Below are 17,178 nucleotides of genomic sequence, written 5' to 3'. Positions count from 1 at the left end.
TTATGAGAAAGATGAAGAGGTCAGAAGTTTGGGCCAGGACCTATGATTTTGAAATATGCTTTAAAATGATAAATTGTAAGGAATTATAAAGCCCAAATTCTGTCCAATAGGTGAGGATTAATTTCTAATGATTCAATGAAGCTGAAAATGGTAGAGTGGATAGTTTTGAAGAACTGATTGTTAGAATCACTTTAGACCATATCCTTCAACTATTATTAATTTTTCTGGGTTTAAAAGAAGGTACTTTTTAATAATGAAAATGTTAAGACAAAGCTCATAAGCATTAGATTCTTATAGAGGAGAGGGCATAGTTGATATTTTGTTAGGAGAATTGAAATATTTACATACATTCTAGGCCCACCAGAAAACCAGTTGCCCCTGCATTGTAGCCATCTGCAAGAGACACTGAAGGGAAAGCCAAAGTTTTTGTCTTGATTTTTTAAATAATGAATTAAAATCTATTGAGTAAAACAGAATATGAGTCCCTGCTCATATAAAATAAATGACTAAATTAAAAGTTTCATAAGAAATGCAAAATTTAAGTGCTTTCAAAACTCCTCCTCATGGAATACCACTTTGTACCAATTATGATGGCCAAAATTAAAACTTATAATACTGGGCCATTGCAAGTTTTGAAAAGAATGTGAAGCAACTGGAACTCTCACAAACTGCTGATGGAAATACAAAAGGTGCAACCATGTTGGAAAACAGTCTTAAATCACTGAACTACACACTTACATTTTATTTTAATTAATTATGCCTCTATAAAGTTGACTCAAAAGAGGAAAAAGAGAATTGTCCAAAACACACATCTTTAGGTGAAAAAATCTTCTTCATTAAATGTTGTTTTTAAATGTATTTTAATTAATAAAAACTGTATACATTTATGTTGTAAAACATGTTGTTTTGAAATATGTATACATAGTGGAATGAGTCAGTGGAGCTAATTTATATATACATTACCTCACATAATTTTTTGCGGTAAGAACACTGCAAGTCTGTTCTCTTAGCAATTTTCAAAAATAAAATGTATTAACCATAGTCACCATGTTGTAAAACAGACCTTCTGAACTCATGTCTCCTGTTTAACTGAAATTTGTATCCTTTGACCAACATCTCCTCAACTCCCTCTCACATCCCGGCTCCTGGTAACCACCATTTTACTCTTTATTTATATGAGTTCAACTTTTCTAGATTCCACATATAAGAGAGACCATGCAATATTTGTCTTTCTCTGCATGACTTATTTCACTCAATATAATGTTCTCCAGGTTTACCCTGTTGTCATAAATGACAGGATTTCCTTCCTTTTAAAGGCTGAATAGTAAGTATTCTACTGTGCATGTATATAACACATTTTCCTCATCCAGTCACTCATTATTACATAGATGGGTTGATTCCGTATTTTGATTATTGTGAATAATGCTGCAATGAACATGTGAATAAAGATATCTGTTCAACGTAACTGCTTTTATTTCCTTTGGAAATATACCCAAAAGTGGAATTATTAAATCATATCATCGTTCTGTATTTACTTTTCTGAAGAATCTTTATGATGTTTTCCATAATGTCTATGCTAATTTATAATCCAACCAACAGAGTAAAATAAGTCTGCTTCTGCAATGTTCTTGTCAACACTTGTTATCATTTATGTTTTTGACAAAAGCCATCCTAACAGGAGTGAGGTGATATTTAATTATGGTTTAGTTGGCATTTCTCAAATGATTATTGATATTGCATGTTTTCTATTGACAAATGATTATTCAGATCATTGGCCTATTTTTAATTGGGTTATTTGTTTTATTGTTATTCAGTTGTTTCAGTTCCTTATATATTTTGGATATTAATCCCTTTTGAGATGCATGCTTTACAGATATTTTTTCTCCCATTTATCTCTTCACTGTGCTGATTCTCATTTGTGCAGAAGCTTTTTCATGGTCTCATTTGTCTAATTTTGCTTTTTTTGCCTTTGATTTCATATCCAAAAAATTATTGCCCAGACCAATATCATGAAGCTTTTCTCATATGTTTTCTACTAGTTGTTTTATACTTTTAAGTCTTACCTGTAATCTATTTGGAATTGATTTTTTATATGGTGTAAGATATGGTTCTAATTTCTTTCTTCTCTATGTGAATACGGTTTTTTAAAACCATTTATTAAAGAGACTGTCTTTTCCCCATTATATGTTCTTGGCGCATTTTAAAAAACTAATTGGCCATAAATATCTGCATCTGTTTCTGGACTGTATTATACTTGTTTATGTGCCTGTTTTTATGCCAGTACGATGCCATTTTGATTAATATTGATTCATAAGTTATTTTGAAGTTAAGTAGTGTGATGCCTCCTGTTTTCTTCTCTTTGTTCAAAATTGCTTGACTATTCTAGGATTTTTGTGGTTCTATACATATTTTAGGATTTTTTTTTTTTTTTGGAGTTGGAGTTGGAGTTGGAGTTGGAGTCTCGCTCTGTCACCCAGCTGGAGTGCAGTGGCTCAATCTCTGCTCACTGCAAGCTCCGCCTCCCAGGCGTGTATCTCATTTTCATTACAGCATTATTCACAATAGCCAAGACATGAAATCAGCCTGTGTCCAACAACAAATGAATAAATAAAGAAAATATGATATATATACACAATGAAATACTATTCCACCATAAAAAAAAAGACAGTTCTGTCATTTGCAACAACATGGATGAACCTGGAGGACATTATGTTAAGTGAAGTAAGCTAGATACAGAAAGACTAATACTACATAACCTCAATTATATGTGGAATCTAAAAATGTTGATTTTTGACAAAGATGCCAAGGACACACAATCAGGAAAGGACAGTCTCTTCAATAAGGAGTGTTGAAAAAAATTGGATATCCATATGGAGAAAAAGGAAATTAGATCCTCATCCCACACCATATACAAAAATCAACTGAAAACCGATTGAAGGCTTAAATGTAACGACTGAAAATGTAAAACTATCAGAAGAAAATATAGAGGAAAAGCTTCATGACATTGGTCTGGCCTTTAGATATGATTCCAAAAGCACAGGCCACAAAAGTAAAAATAGACAAATGTGATTACATAAAACTGAAACTTCTTCACAGCAAAGGAGTGAAGAATTCACAATCAACAGAGAGATAAGATGATCTACCAAATGAGAAAAAGTTTTTGTAAACTATATCGCTGATAAAGTATTCTTCTTCAAAATGTAAAGGGATCTGATAAAACTCAACAGCAAAAAAAAAAAAAAAAAAAAACTTTTAAAATGTACAAAGAACCTGAATAGACATTTTTCAAAAGAAGACATACGAGTGGCCAGCAGTTACATAGAAAAATACTTAACATCACTAATCCTCAGGGAAATGCAAATCAGAAACACAATGAGATATCGTCTTACACCCGATAGGATGGCTATTATCAAAGAGTCAAAAGATAACAAGTGTTGTTGAGGAGCTGGAGAAAAGGGAACCCTGGTACACTGCTGGTGGGAATAAAATTTGTACAGCCATTTAGAAAACCTTATGGAGATGCCTCAGAAAATTAACAACAGAACTAACATATGATTCAGCAATCCCACTTCTTGGAATACATCCAAAGGGTATGAAATACGCATGTCAAAGAATTATTTGTATCTCATGTTCATTACAGCATTATTCACAATAGCCAAGACATGAAATCAGCCTGTGTCCACCAACAAATGAATAAATAAAGAAAATATGATATATATACACAATGAAATACTATTCCACCATAAAAAAGACAGTTCTGTCATTTGCAACAACATGGATGAACCTGGAGGATATTATGTTAAGTGAAGTAAGCTAGACACAGAAAGACTAATACTACACAACCTCAATTATATGTGCAATCTAAAAATGTTGAACTCATAGAAACAGATAGTAGAATGCTGGCTACAAGAGGCTGGTAGGGTGGAAGAGTTGGGAAGATGTTGGTAAAGGATATGAAATTTCAGTTAAACAAGAGGAATAAGTTTAAGGTATCTTATCATGACTATATTTAATACCAATATTGTATACTTGAAAATTGCTGAGAGAGGAAATTTTAATGTTCTGGTTCTAAAAAAGAATAATTATATGAGGTAATGGATATGCTAATTAGCTTAATTTAGCCATTCAACAACGTGTACATATATCAAAACATTATGTTACATACCATTAATAAATACAATTTTTACTTACCATTTTTTAAAAAAATTAACTGTAAAACAGTTTCTGAAAACAATTTAAGAACTTCATATGCCTACTACCTCAATTTGACAAAAGTTAATATATTGTCATTCCTATGTTAAAATATAATTCATGACAGATATAATGTTATAGGTGCTTTTAAAATGTTTTACCTAAGTCATATTTATACATTCTTTTTCGTTTGTTTTCCTGTTCCTTGCGATTATGTCTAGAGATTTATTCTTCTTAACAAATGATTATCCAGTTCATTTACATTCACTGCTGTAGAATACTCAGCTGTATGAAACTAGCTTAATTTTTTCCTTATTCTTCTTTTGATATATATTTAAGTTGTTTCTAATTCTTCACCATTAACAAGAATGCTGCAATTCATGCCTTTGTATGTGTCTTGTGCAACATAGTACATGGGTTCATCTAGGCTATATATAGAGAGAAGGAGAGAGGTTTTTTTGTTTTTTTTTTGACAGAGTCTCACTCAGTCACTCAGGCTGGAGTGCAGTGGTAAAATTTCAGCTCACTGCAACCTCTACCTCCTGGCTTCAAGAAATCCCCCCACCTCAGCCTCCCAAGTAGCTAGGATTACATGAACCACCACACCAGGCTAATTTTTATTTATTTATTTTGTTTATTTTATTTTATTTGAAATGGAGTCTCGCTCCGTCCCCAGGCTGGAGTGCAGTGGCTCAATCTCAGCTCACTGCAACCTCTGCCTCCCTGGTTAGAGCGATTCTTCTGCCCCTCAGCCTCCCGAGTAGCTGGGATTATAATTGCCTGCCACCACGCCCGGCTGATTTTTGTATATTTAGTAGACACAGAGTTACACCATATTGGCCAGGCTTATCTTGAACTCCTGACCTTCTGATCCACCTGCCTCGGCATCCCAAAGTGCTGGCATTACAGGCGTGAGCCACCATGCCTGGCCCTATTTTTATTTTTTTGTAATCTTAGTAGAGACAGGGTTTCACCATTTTACTCAGGCAGGTCTTGAACTCCTCACCTCAAATGATCTGCTCCCCCTCAATCTTCTAAATTGCTGGGATTACAGGCATGAGCCACCGCACCTAGCCTAGGGTATATATTTAAACATAGAATTGCTAAAATAACTAGATATGGCCAAGTTTTTCCAAAATAGTTGTACCAGTAAACATTTGCAACAGCATTTTTGTCATTTTTATTTGTCCACATCTCACTAATCCTATGTATTTAAGAATAGTTAGTATCATTTACAATAACAAAGACATGGAACCAACACAAATGCCCATCAATGACAGACTAGATAAAGAAAATGTGGAGCTCTCAGGCTCCGCCTAATTTATTGGTTTATAAGCTCTTTGTTCCTAAGGCAGATGAGAGCAGGAGGAAGGGATGAGGAAAAGGATTAATCAGTGAAAGAGAACTCATGAGTCATTCAATAAGATGTAGAGCAGTAGCGGTTTCTGGGAATTTCTTTGAGCAAAGGCATGTGTCTAAACTACGTAAGATCTTTAACTTATAGGGACTGAAATGGGCGGGAGCGGGTTTCAGGAGGAGCCAAGACGTTTGATTATACTCCCCTGCTTCAAGGGACTGTTATCTCCCTGAGCAACCTGTGGAATACCGCTGAGCTGTTATGCTCTCGGGGCATAAAGACATGAAGGCATAAGGAGACTTTTCTCCTCAGAGGCTGCCCATGGCTACGCATGGGTGTCTCACACAGGGGAGACCAACTCAACTGGCACCCCAGAAACTCTCTTTCCCACAAGAAGTACATGGTATACTTGCATAGCCAAAGAAATTAAAATAGGCCATTGAAGACAGAGAAAAACAATGGCTAGAAAAGGCAGTAGGAATAAAAGAGAAGATCATGCTTCCTGGCTTCATGGCATGAGAATGGGGGAGTGAGTAGACATCCATGAGAAAAGATCAAGGAGCATGCAGCCATCGGGGAAAATCCATAGTGCAGATAAAGCAAGGAGGAAGAAGAAGGACAGTTCTAGTAAAAGGGAGAACATCAATATAGGATGTTTCTTAGCAATAGAAAAAGAAGGCCAAGAGGAATTAGGGAGAGAGTTATAAGAGATCAGCAAGGGGACAGGGTTAGATTTGGTTTGGTTTGAAAGCATACAGTAAATATGATGTCTGTCCCTGGCAGTGTTGGCAGAGTAGGAAGGAGGAAGGGAGGCAAGAGATAATATCATTTTCTCTGTGCTCCAACTGTACTTACATATGAGACTATTTCCCTCTCTGCTTTTCAAACCTTACTGGAGTTGTTTTCCCTCATGAAAACCAAGAAAGGAAAGCTAGTTAGTCTTGTTCTGAGGTTGTTCAATGTATACATATCTATATCTGTAGACAGAATCCTTGGGAATACAGTAATTGACATATATTCTGTTATTTGATGCTTGAAAAATCTCCTCCACTAACCAGTTTCCCTATAGATTGCCACAAGCACATAATAAGAAACAATAAATAAAATGTTCTCTTGACTTTGTTACTTAACAATGCTGAGAAAACTTTACAGCCTTCATAAGGAAGTGAGGTCCAGGAAAATCTAGGAGATATTTCTTAACCAATCTATAAAGGCATTAGTAATGACAGGATATTTCCTGAAAGTGTAATTTCCCATTGAGGATTTGTTTTTAATTTCTGGATTCCTGGAGCCAATGAAGTTGGTGTATGTTTATGAAATATCAAGAGACATAAGTTGGCAAGTGTTCATATGCAAAAACTTCTTGGAATTTCTGAGTTCTCTGTGGCAATATATGACATCAGGATATGTCCAGTCTCACACACCAGGATATGTCCTTTCTAGCCTGTCTATCACATGCTAGGAGAACTATTTAGGAACAGAAAAAAATGCCTGAAATGATTTCTCATTTGAACTCATCCAAGCTTTCTCTAAATTTAAGCAAACTCCTGGTCATTTTCAGTTAGTACCTTTCCTTAAGTTCAACCTTCAGGGCAAACCTCCGTGCCTCAGGACGTTTAGCCATAGTCTGAAATTCTCTTCCATAGATTGGTCCCCTGTAACCCCGGTTTGTCTCAGCTTGTTATCCTGTTTTTTTCTTCCCTCCATTCCCAGGATGAGCTTGTTGCTTCTGTCCTATGAGACATTAGATTCCTTTTCTTTGGTACCCGAGTAAATCCATCCTACTCCAATAGAGGAAGGTCCATTTTTGTCTTATAGCGCTGGATGCAGACTCAGCTGAGAAGACCATTATTCATTTTTGGAATTCTTTATCTCAGATATTTCCTCTTCTTTCTTTTTCTTCTATCTTTGGATTTTTAGTCCATCAACGCCCCATTAGTCTATTCCCCGACTTCAATCAGGGAACTTATACCTCTTAAACTCATTCAGAGACTCAAAACATATATATTGATACAGGAGACCTAAGAAGAGCATGTCTTGGGGGTTGAGGAAACAGGCAGGTGAGAAATTTCCAGATTGGAAACACAGCTTCCTTTCTCCCATCCAGCCCCTACTTTCAGCCTATGTGTTTCTGGCACCTTGTTGTAGATAAATCTCCCTTGACTTTGTGATGTGCTGAGAAAACAAACTCACGGCTGGTGTTAAAAAGGGCCCATGACAATACCAAGTGTTGGGGAGAATGTGGAGAAATCAGAACTCTATTCACGGTCGGTTGGAATGCACACTTGTGCAGAATTCTATGGAGAAGAGTCTGGCATTTCCTCAAAATGTTAACCTGGATTTACCATATGACCCAGCGATTTCATTCATAGGTTTATACTCAAAAGAAATGAAGAAATATGCCATGCAAAAAAATGTACATGAAAGGTCACAACATCATTATTCATAATAGTAAAAGGATGGAAACAACACAAATGTCCATCAACTTATGATTAAAGAAAATCTGGTCTATTCATAGAATGGAATATTATTCGACCACAAAAAGGAATGATGTACTGATCCATGCAATGATGTGGACAAACCATGAAAATAACACTAGATTAAAGAAGCCAGTCACAAAAGGACTTACTGTATGATTCCATTTACCTGAAATGTTTGGAATAGGCAAATCCATAGAAACAGGAGGTAGATTCCTGGTTTCCAGGGTCTCCAGGAAGGGAAGAATGAAGTACAAGATTTCTTTTGGAGGTAGTGAAATTGTTGTGGAATGAGATCATGATGATGATAGCACAACTTTGTGAATATAATAAAATCATTGAATTGTACAGTTGAATTTATGGTATATAAATTATATGTTAATAAAAAGGGGGTCCACAAAACAAACAGCCCCCCACTCTGGTTGTCAGGGAGATATTGGATTAAATGGCCTTGGACAACAACCCCTCTCCCTGGCCACAGACATTCTTCAGATTACAAGATATTCCAGGGGAAACACTGGAATGAGTCTGAAGCCAGGTGCTAAACAGAAGGACCATTGAGAAATGTTGTGATCCTGACAGGTCAAGCAATTTATTTTTCGGCTTCATTTTTAAATGTAAAATTAGAAAGCTGCCATTTAAAATGGCCCGTCTGTTTCAATTGCTCTTCTCAGTGTCAGCCTGTTAACTCAATGTGTTAGTCTGTTTTCATGCTGCTGATAAAAACATACCTGAGACTGGCAAGAAAAAGAGGTTTAATTGGGCTTAGAGTTCCACGTGATTGGGGAGGCCTCAGAATCACAGTAGGAGGCAAAAGTTATTCTTACATGGTGGCTGCAAGAGAAGATGAGGAAGAAGCAAAAGAAGAAACCCCTGATAAACCCATCGGATCTCCTGAGGCTTATTAACTATCATGAGAATAGCACAAGAAAGACCGGCCCCCATGATTCAATTACCTCTACCTGGGTCCCTCCAATAACATGTGGAAATTCTGGTAGATACAATTCAAGTTGAGATTTGGGTGGGAACACAGCCAAACCATATCACTCAGCAAGGCAGATAACTTTCTCACTGAGCCTATGCAACAGAAAACCATCTGGGATGGTTGTAAGGGGCACAGGAAGTGACTGGTAGGATCACTGCCAAAGCTGAGCACTCAGGAGAAGGCAATAGAATCCTATTCTCCATAGTATGCTATAAGATACTGAAGTACACTTCTTCACTATCTCTTTGGACTTAGAATTAGCACTACATTCCTTGTTATACAGAAAAATTACTAAGGAAATTCATAGGATGACAAAAACTTTCAGAACTGAAAAACAGGAAATGTAAGCTTTTTAGTTCTTTGGTATTCGAAGTATGCCTAAAAGACAATGCAAAATCCAAGAAAAGAATGGTGGGGTTTTTGTTTGTTTGTTTTTGTTTTTGTTTTACAGCTGGAGTAGAATACAAAGGGATGGAGTTGAAACAAATGAGAGGAAATTGGAATTCTAAACTTATTCTCATTGGCATTAGAAAGGCACCTACATGTATTTCACATGAGCCGGTGACTGCTGACTTGCATTCTTATTTTTTCCCTATAGATTAAAAAGGAGGTACAATGGTAGAACTGTAATCCTGTCCTTTGTCATAAATTTTCATATTCATAAAGGTGAGTGTTAGCCCGCTTGTGAAATCTGAAGTTGAGTAACTTCAAATACTAACCACAGAGGGAAAGGCAGCAAGAGGAGAGGCATAAATTTAGGATCTCACCCTTCATTCCACAGACACACACAGCCTCTCTGCCCACCTCTGCTTCCTCTAGGAACACAGGTAAGAGCTTCAAGCCTCTCCAGCTTAATAACATGAATTATTTTTGAGAATAATAATGATACTGTGTTCTATATCATGCATCTCCTGCATTCTGTCTGATTATATTTTACTTATTCTGCCAGAGCAAAATTAAAATACCTATTTCATCTGATTTGTCCTTTATCTAAATTGCTTAGTTCCAAGTAAACCAAGGCACTTTTAGGAACACAGAGGGAGAGTGCCTTGCAGCCAGAGAGTCTTGAAGGAGATGTCAGGGACGCATCTTAACAGCTGGTTGGATGTGATCCACAGAGGTCTCCTGTTAGCATTCATTGTAAAGCCATCCTACCTAGCTCTAGTGTAACCAGCAATGAAAGAAAGATAAAGAGGGTCGATTACTTATTTACAATAGTCTTTAAAAACGTAGTTTTGTAAGCCTTCTAATTAGGACATTAATATATTTAATATATGCACATTGTAGAAAGATTGAAGCGTTAAAAATAAGAGAAAAACTTTAAATGTCAAAATCTCACAACCCAGATATATCATTTCTTTAAGAAAATTGTACTACAAAATACCATTCCATTTATTAAAGTCATTCTGACAGGAATCTGATGCTTTTCCAGGAGTTCCAGATCACATCGAGTTCACCATGAATTCACTCAGTGAAGCCAACACCAAGTTCATGTTCGATCTGTTCCAACAGTTCAGAAAATCAAAAGAGAACAACATCTTCTATTCCCCTATCAGCATCACATCAGCATTAGGGATGGTCCTCTTAGGAGCCAAAGACAACACTGCACAACAAATTAGCAAGGTAGCTATCAGCATCATTACGTTGTCCTGTTGCAGTTTTTCTCTGGTTCCGTCGGCTAGCACGCAGATGGTAATAGATGTGGTGGTCTGATGGGTAGCACAGGGGGCTGTGCAGGAATTCCCATAACTGTGAGACCACTGACTTAAACAGATCTTTTGAGTAAAGTTTTCTTGTCCCGCTTCATGTCTCTTCCAGGTTCTTCACTTTGATCAAGTCACAGAGAACACCACAGAAAAAGCTGCAACATATCATGTGAGTCACAGAGCACTATGGTTCAGCTTTAGATCCCTGAACAGGTCATAGTTTAAACCTGGAACTTCACAAAAACTAAGAAAAGGCCAGTTTTAGGGAAAATCTTGGACACAAAGATTGAGACATACAGAGTGGGTTGGCATTTCATGGCACATAATTATTATTCCTCATTTCTGCGTTACTAAAAGACAGTCAGCACTGTACCTCAGAGCATAGGTCTGGATCAGGATAGGCTGGGTTCAGACTCCAGCTTTGCTCTTCACAAATGATGAATAAGAGCAGGACACAACTGCTCGGAGTCCCAGTGACCTCATCCCAGAAAACTAAGGGTAAGAAAAAATCTGACTCAATACATGCAAATACATGCAAATGTTTACAACAGTGCCTTGCCCATAAAAGTCATAATAAATGTTATTATTATTATAAAGTAGCTATAATTATACTAATCATAATAATGTGAAAATAATTTAATTTTCATTGAGTCATTAATGAGATTCAGAGGAATAAGCACAAGTCCAAGTATATTTTGGAAAATGATTGCTATGGAATATATTGGTTTAGAGCCTTAATAGTGCAAAATGCTTTGCTGGAAGGTAGAAAGTTCTAGATTTAAACAGGCTTAGGTTCAAAACTTGGCACTTCTAATTTATGTCTCTATAAACAGGGTTTTTTTCCCCATTCTCTGAGCTTTCTTGTGTTCATCTGAATTGAACTAAAGACTTAGAGTTACCCATGTAAAGTCCTTAGCCATGGACCTGGCATACACTCTTCTTACGTGCAGAGAATGACCATCATGAGGAAAGAGCCACAGATCAGTCAATGTGTCCTACAAGATAATAGCACCAACAGGTATAACAGGGCTTCCTGGCATAATCTATTTAAAATATCCAACCTTCAACATACTCGTATCCTTGATGACTGTTAGAAGTGAAATATGGTCCTTGCCCATAAGGAGCTGAGAGTTTAACTGGGAAGCTAAACCTAACCCTTTAAACCAACAAGGAGAAAATCTACTGGTAGACAGCGCTGCATCTTTAGTTCAGAAGAGAAAAGATTGCAGTACGTTAGAGCAAGAAGAATTTTCTGGAAGAAGTCAAATATAAGGTGGATTTTGAAGGGTATTTGAGGTGAAATACACCAATTATCAGGGAATAACATCAAAGGTCCTCAATGAGACTACCAGCATTTAGGGACTGATCTAACAGACTTAGCATGGGTTTAGTATTTACATTGATACAGCAATTGAATGATCTCCCTTTTTGATGTTTGAAGGTTGATAGGTCAGGAAATGTTCATCACCAGTTTCAAAAGCTTCTGACTGAATTCAACAAATCCACTGATGCATATGAGCTGAAGATCGCCAACAAGCTCTTCGGAGAAAAGACGTATCAATTTTTACAGGTAATTTCACCTGGCCTACCCACATTTCATTTGCATCCTGATGTCTGTGTCTCTGAGTGGCCAAATGGAAGAAAGCAAGGCAGATGAGCCTGGCCGACTCAGGTGGAGAGCATTTACTCAGAGTGCATTAGCTCCATTTCCACAACTCTCCCCCACTGGAGTGTCCCAGACCCCAACGATACATCACTGAAGTGTGGATTTAGGGATAATCTTGTGATAAAAGAGGAGGTTGTGTAATAGAGTGAGTAAGAGTAATAAGTAATAAGATACCATCGATAAACTGGCACTGACTCAGTCACATACGATACATCTTGGTGGGAAATGTATGACTAATGGGATATTATTGGAATGGGCAGGCTTGGGTGAGTTCCTGAGAATAGTTGAGGAAGTACCAGGAAATATTGAATGCACAGGATGAAAGACAAAAACAAAGATCAGAAACATCATGGTTAAAATTACTGGAGAGAAGTCTGAGAAGCAATGAATCTCCTTCAGGGAAGCCTGCTCTGCAGTTTGCAAACCACAGCCTCTTCTGCTTCTGCCTTTTGCCAAGATGATATTGACCTTCAGTGACCTCTTTCTTGTGCCAGCCCACATTCCCCTTTTGCATTGCCTACATGACACCTGTATAAAAATATCCATGGACAGGAGATACTGCATCTATTCAGGGTCTGGATTCAGCTTACTGTTGTTACAAATAAGTAAGTTTGGTAATATATAGTTACATAAATTACTCCTAATTCCTACTTCTTCCTTCATATCTCAAAGGAATATTTAGATGCCATCAAGAAATTTTACCAGACCAGTGTGGAATCTACTGATTTTGCAAATGCTCCAGAAGAAAGTCGAAAGAAGATTAACTCCTGGGTGGAAAGTCAAACGAATGGTAGGAGAGCCACCCATTATAGAAACACCTTTGAGAAACCTATGCCAGTGAGCCTTGTGCTTGACACTGCATGGGGGAACAGGTGTGGGGATTGAGATGGGTTTGCAGGGAGGGCTGAAGAGGGCACTCCAGATGAAGGATTTGTCCAAATGAATATGAAGAGAGCCTAGGGGAGCCAAGGAGGAAATCACAGGAAGCCAATTAGATGGAAACACATCTGGAGAATTATTTGCTTATGGCCCTGCATGACAATAGCTTTGTGGATCCCCTGTCTCCGCTCAGGCCTATTTTGAGATCATATCCTTTACTTTAAATCAGACTCAAATTTTTATGATGAATATTTAATAGAAAACATTAGAAAGCGTCTCTCGTCTCCTTTACTAATTGGGAAACAAGCAGCTCTCTGGTAAATCACCCTTTTGTCTCTGAGCTGGAGCTGCCTGGATCACATCTGTAGCCAATGTGTTCTGCAGGGATTATCACAGCTCTCTTCCCCATCAAGGGCAAAGAGCTTGACAAAGTCTCCATTCTACAGACATCTTTCTTACCTCCCACCTCTCATTACAGGCCAAACTTACAGCAACTCAACATGAGAGTGAATAGGAAGATACCCCCGGAAGTAGTGTCTGACAGCACAGGACATGCGTTTCATATTACAGAGCTCAAGTCACTCATCCTAAAATGCAATCAGGGCCTCCTTCCTCTGAATGGGGACCCCGTAGTTAAAAAAAAATAAAAGTAGGAAGAGGAGGGAGGGAGAAAGGAAAGACACATGTTGGAAGAGTAGACAAAATCAGTTTATCAGTATTCCAAATCAGATGATTGGAGACATTCATACACAGAGAACGTGAACTCCTTCTCTATCACAAGAAGTGATGTCTCCATCAAGGGTAACTTTATACGACTGGAGCCTTGAAGAAAGCTGCATCTGGTGAACCACTGGTCAGTGAGTCTAACAATTCAAAGATCAAAGTCAGTGAGTCTCAAGCAGGGATTTGGGTCAATAATTAACGATCAGTCACGAACATTTGCAAAGCATCTTCCAGACAAGCCATTTGTAGCTTGTGTAAAAGACTCTTTTATTCTTTCCCTTGCAGAAAAAATTAAAAACCTATTTCCTGATGGGACTATTGGCAATGATACGACACTGGTTCTTGTGAACGCAATCTATTTCAAAGGGCAGTGGGAGAATAAATTTAAAAAAGAAAACACTAAAGAGGAAAAATTTTGGCCAAACAAGGTATTGTCTATATTTTATTTATATAGTGTAATATGTTAATACATGGAATGTTAAACATTTCTGATGGAATGTAACATGATAAGTAAAAAATAAAAATTGTTCATGTCTGTTATTTTGTTGTTTTACTCTTATAACTTTATTTAGTTAGGAATACCTGAAAAACTATTGTTTCTAACTCATGGAATTCCTGGGTTATTTCTTAGAAGAAGAAGGATGTGTTGCTATCTCAATAATATTATCTTTTTTGTCTTGTGTTTCACGTGTTATTTGTTGGACACATTGATTTATTGCAGAATACATACAAATCTGTACAGATGATGAGGCAATACAATTCCTTTAATTTTGCCTTGCTGGAGGATGTACAGGCCAAGGTCCTGGAAATACCATACAAAGGCAAAGATCTAAGCATGATTGTGCTGCTGCCAAATGAAATCGATGGTCTGCAGAAGGTAAGAACTTGCATCTACAACTCTTCCTTCTACTGCCGGACATTTTTCCAAAGATACCAAGTTTAAACAAGGTAAAAGCTTATGACCGAGTTGCCTCAAAATGATGAAAAATTCTAAATGAGGAATGATGACTCACCTTCATATTACAAATATTTGAGCATAGGGCCTGACACAAACTGAAAGCTTAGTTTTTGTTTGTTTGTTTGTTTTTATTATTATTATTATAATACTTTAAGCTTTAGGGTACATGTGCACAATGTGCAGGTTAGTTACATATGTATACATGTGCCATGCTGGTGTGCTGCACCCATTAACTCGTCATTTAGCGTTAGGTATATCTCCTAATGCTATCCCTCCCCCCTCCCCCCACCCCACAACAGTCCTCAGAGTGTGATGTTACCTTCCTGTGTCCAAGTGTTCTCATTGTTCAATTCCCATCTATGATTTAATTCCATCTATGGCTTAGTTAATGATTAATTTATTAGAGTTACATGCATTGGATATCAATTTGATGATATTATTATGCAGCAATTTAAACTTGACTGGGAGAAATATATACCAATGTGAGGAAAGTTTACAAATAGGCCGAGTAGAAAAGGGAATACAAATTTAGGAATTTAGGGAATTACAATTTAATAATTGCAATGTGTACTAAATAATGTATACAGAAAAATATGATGAGCCTATTAAAAATTGACACATGTAGTAGGCTGTTGGCACAAGAAATAGTGATACATACAGTTCATTGTGTACAAAATAATGTAATCATATTTTACATGTGTATCATACAGTTGTATACATACATATGTACACATATACATATACGTAAAAACATGATTCTGTTTTTACATACATGTATATACATATACACATATAACCCAATGTATTTATATATTCAGGACTCATATTTTACCTATTAGAATAATAATGTCTATTAAAGTGAACCTTCTGTATTTCACATTTATTGCCAAAATAACGAATCTCCACATAGTCAATTCATTGTTAAGGTGTATTAGAGATCGACAGTTAGTCATATCAGTTTCTTTTTTCCATTTGTATAGCTTGAAGAGAAACTCACTGCTGAGAAATTGATGGAATGGACAAGTTTGCAGAATATGAGAGAGACATGTGTCGATTTACACTTACCTCGGTTCAAAATGGAAGAGAGCTATGACCTCAAGGACACGTTGAGAACCATGGGAATGGTGAATATCTTCAATGGGGATGCAGACCTCTCAGGCATGACCTGGAGCCACGGTCTCTCAGTATCTAAAGTCCTACACAAGGCCTTTGTGGAGGTCACTGAGGAGGGAGTGGAAGCTGCAGCTGCCACCGCTGTAGTAGTAGTCGAATTATCATCTCCTTCAACTAATGAAGAGTTCTGTTGTAATCACCCTTTCCTATTCTTCATAAGGCAAAATAAGACCAACAGCATCCTCTTCTATGGCAGATTCTCATCCCCATAGATGCAATTAGTCTGTCACTCCATTTAGAAAATGTTCACCTAGAGGTGTTCTGGTAAACTGATTGCTGGCAACAACAGATTCTCTTGGCTCATATTTCTTTTCTATCTCATCTTGATGATGATAGTCATCATCAAGAATTTAATGATTAAAATAGCATGCCTTTCTCTCTTTCTCTTAATAAGCCCACATATAAATGTACTTTTCCTTCCAGAAAAATTTCCCTTGAGGAAAAATGTCCAAGATAAGATGAATCATTTAATACCGTGTCTTCTAAATTTGAAATATAATTCTGTTTCTGACCTGTTTTAAATGAACCAAACCAAATCATACTTTCTCTTCAAATTTAGCAACCTAGAAACACACATTTCTTTGAATTTAGGTGATACCTAAATCCTTCTTATGTTTCTAAATTTTGTGATTCTATAAAACACATCATCAATAAAATAATGACATAAAATCATTTTTGCTTTACCTGTTTTCTCTCTGGAAAGGGCAAGTGTCCAGTTACACATAGGAAAGATAATTTAGAGATATATTAATCATATATAAAGGAAAATTAAAAACAGAGTAGTTCATGATGAGCCTGGAGTAGAAGGCATATCCCAGAACAGGAGGAGCCTTGTAAACCACATAGGAACTTCCTATTTTATGCTAAAGGGATAAGAAACTCATTACAGGCTTTGATGGTTGTTTGTCAAAGAGGGGCATAAAATTATCATATCCACATCTAGAAAATACATCTCTGGCTACGCTGATATCAATGGATGCGAGGAAAGAACAGTGTGGTTACCATATATAAATTAGGAAATCATTAGAGTATTGGGAGTGGAAATGGAGAGAAAGAAAGAGCC

General features: G+C 36.9%; 1 protein-coding gene across 3 annotated transcripts, besides 1 other annotated feature; it reads left to right on the top strand.

The window, feature by feature from the left end:
* SERPINB4 (serpin family B member 4) lies at positions 9,790–16,787 on the top strand. Of its 3 annotated transcripts, none has more exons than NM_175041.2 (8): positions 9,790–9,837; positions 10,443–10,633; positions 10,829–10,885; positions 12,158–12,286; positions 13,055–13,172; positions 14,270–14,412; positions 14,769–14,861; positions 15,923–16,787. In NM_175041.2, the coding sequence occupies exons 2-8, from the start codon at positions 10,469–10,471 to the stop codon at positions 16,325–16,327; spliced, it is 1,110 nt and encodes a 369-aa protein (NP_778206.1). In that variant the 5' UTR covers positions 9,790–9,837; positions 10,443–10,468; the 3' UTR covers positions 16,328–16,787. The 3 variants fall into 3 exon arrangements, with proteins under 3 accessions (NP_778206.1, NP_002965.1, XP_011524440.1); NM_002974.4 differs by having other exon boundaries at positions 14,706–14,861; XM_011526138.2 differs by having other exon boundaries at positions 10,424–10,633; positions 14,706–14,861.
* Positions 12,061–13,260: an enhancer, noted in NCBI's record as "MED14-independent group 3 enhancer chr18:61308020-61309219 (GRCh37/hg19 assembly coordinates)". NCBI's record gives its function as "activates an origin of replication core promoter dependent on BRD2, BRD4, P300/CBP and CDK7 cofactors, and independent of MED14, by STARR-seq in HCT116 cells {active_cell/tissue: HCT116}" and the evidence as "EXISTENCE:reporter gene assay evidence [ECO:0000049][PMID:35650434]".

This window comes from Homo sapiens, chromosome 18 (genome assembly GCF_000001405.40).
Source record: "Homo sapiens chromosome 18, GRCh38.p14 Primary Assembly".
Classification (NCBI taxonomy): Eukaryota; Metazoa; Chordata; class Mammalia; order Primates; family Hominidae; genus Homo; species Homo sapiens.
This window is presented reverse-complemented; position numbering and strand designations above follow the sequence as displayed.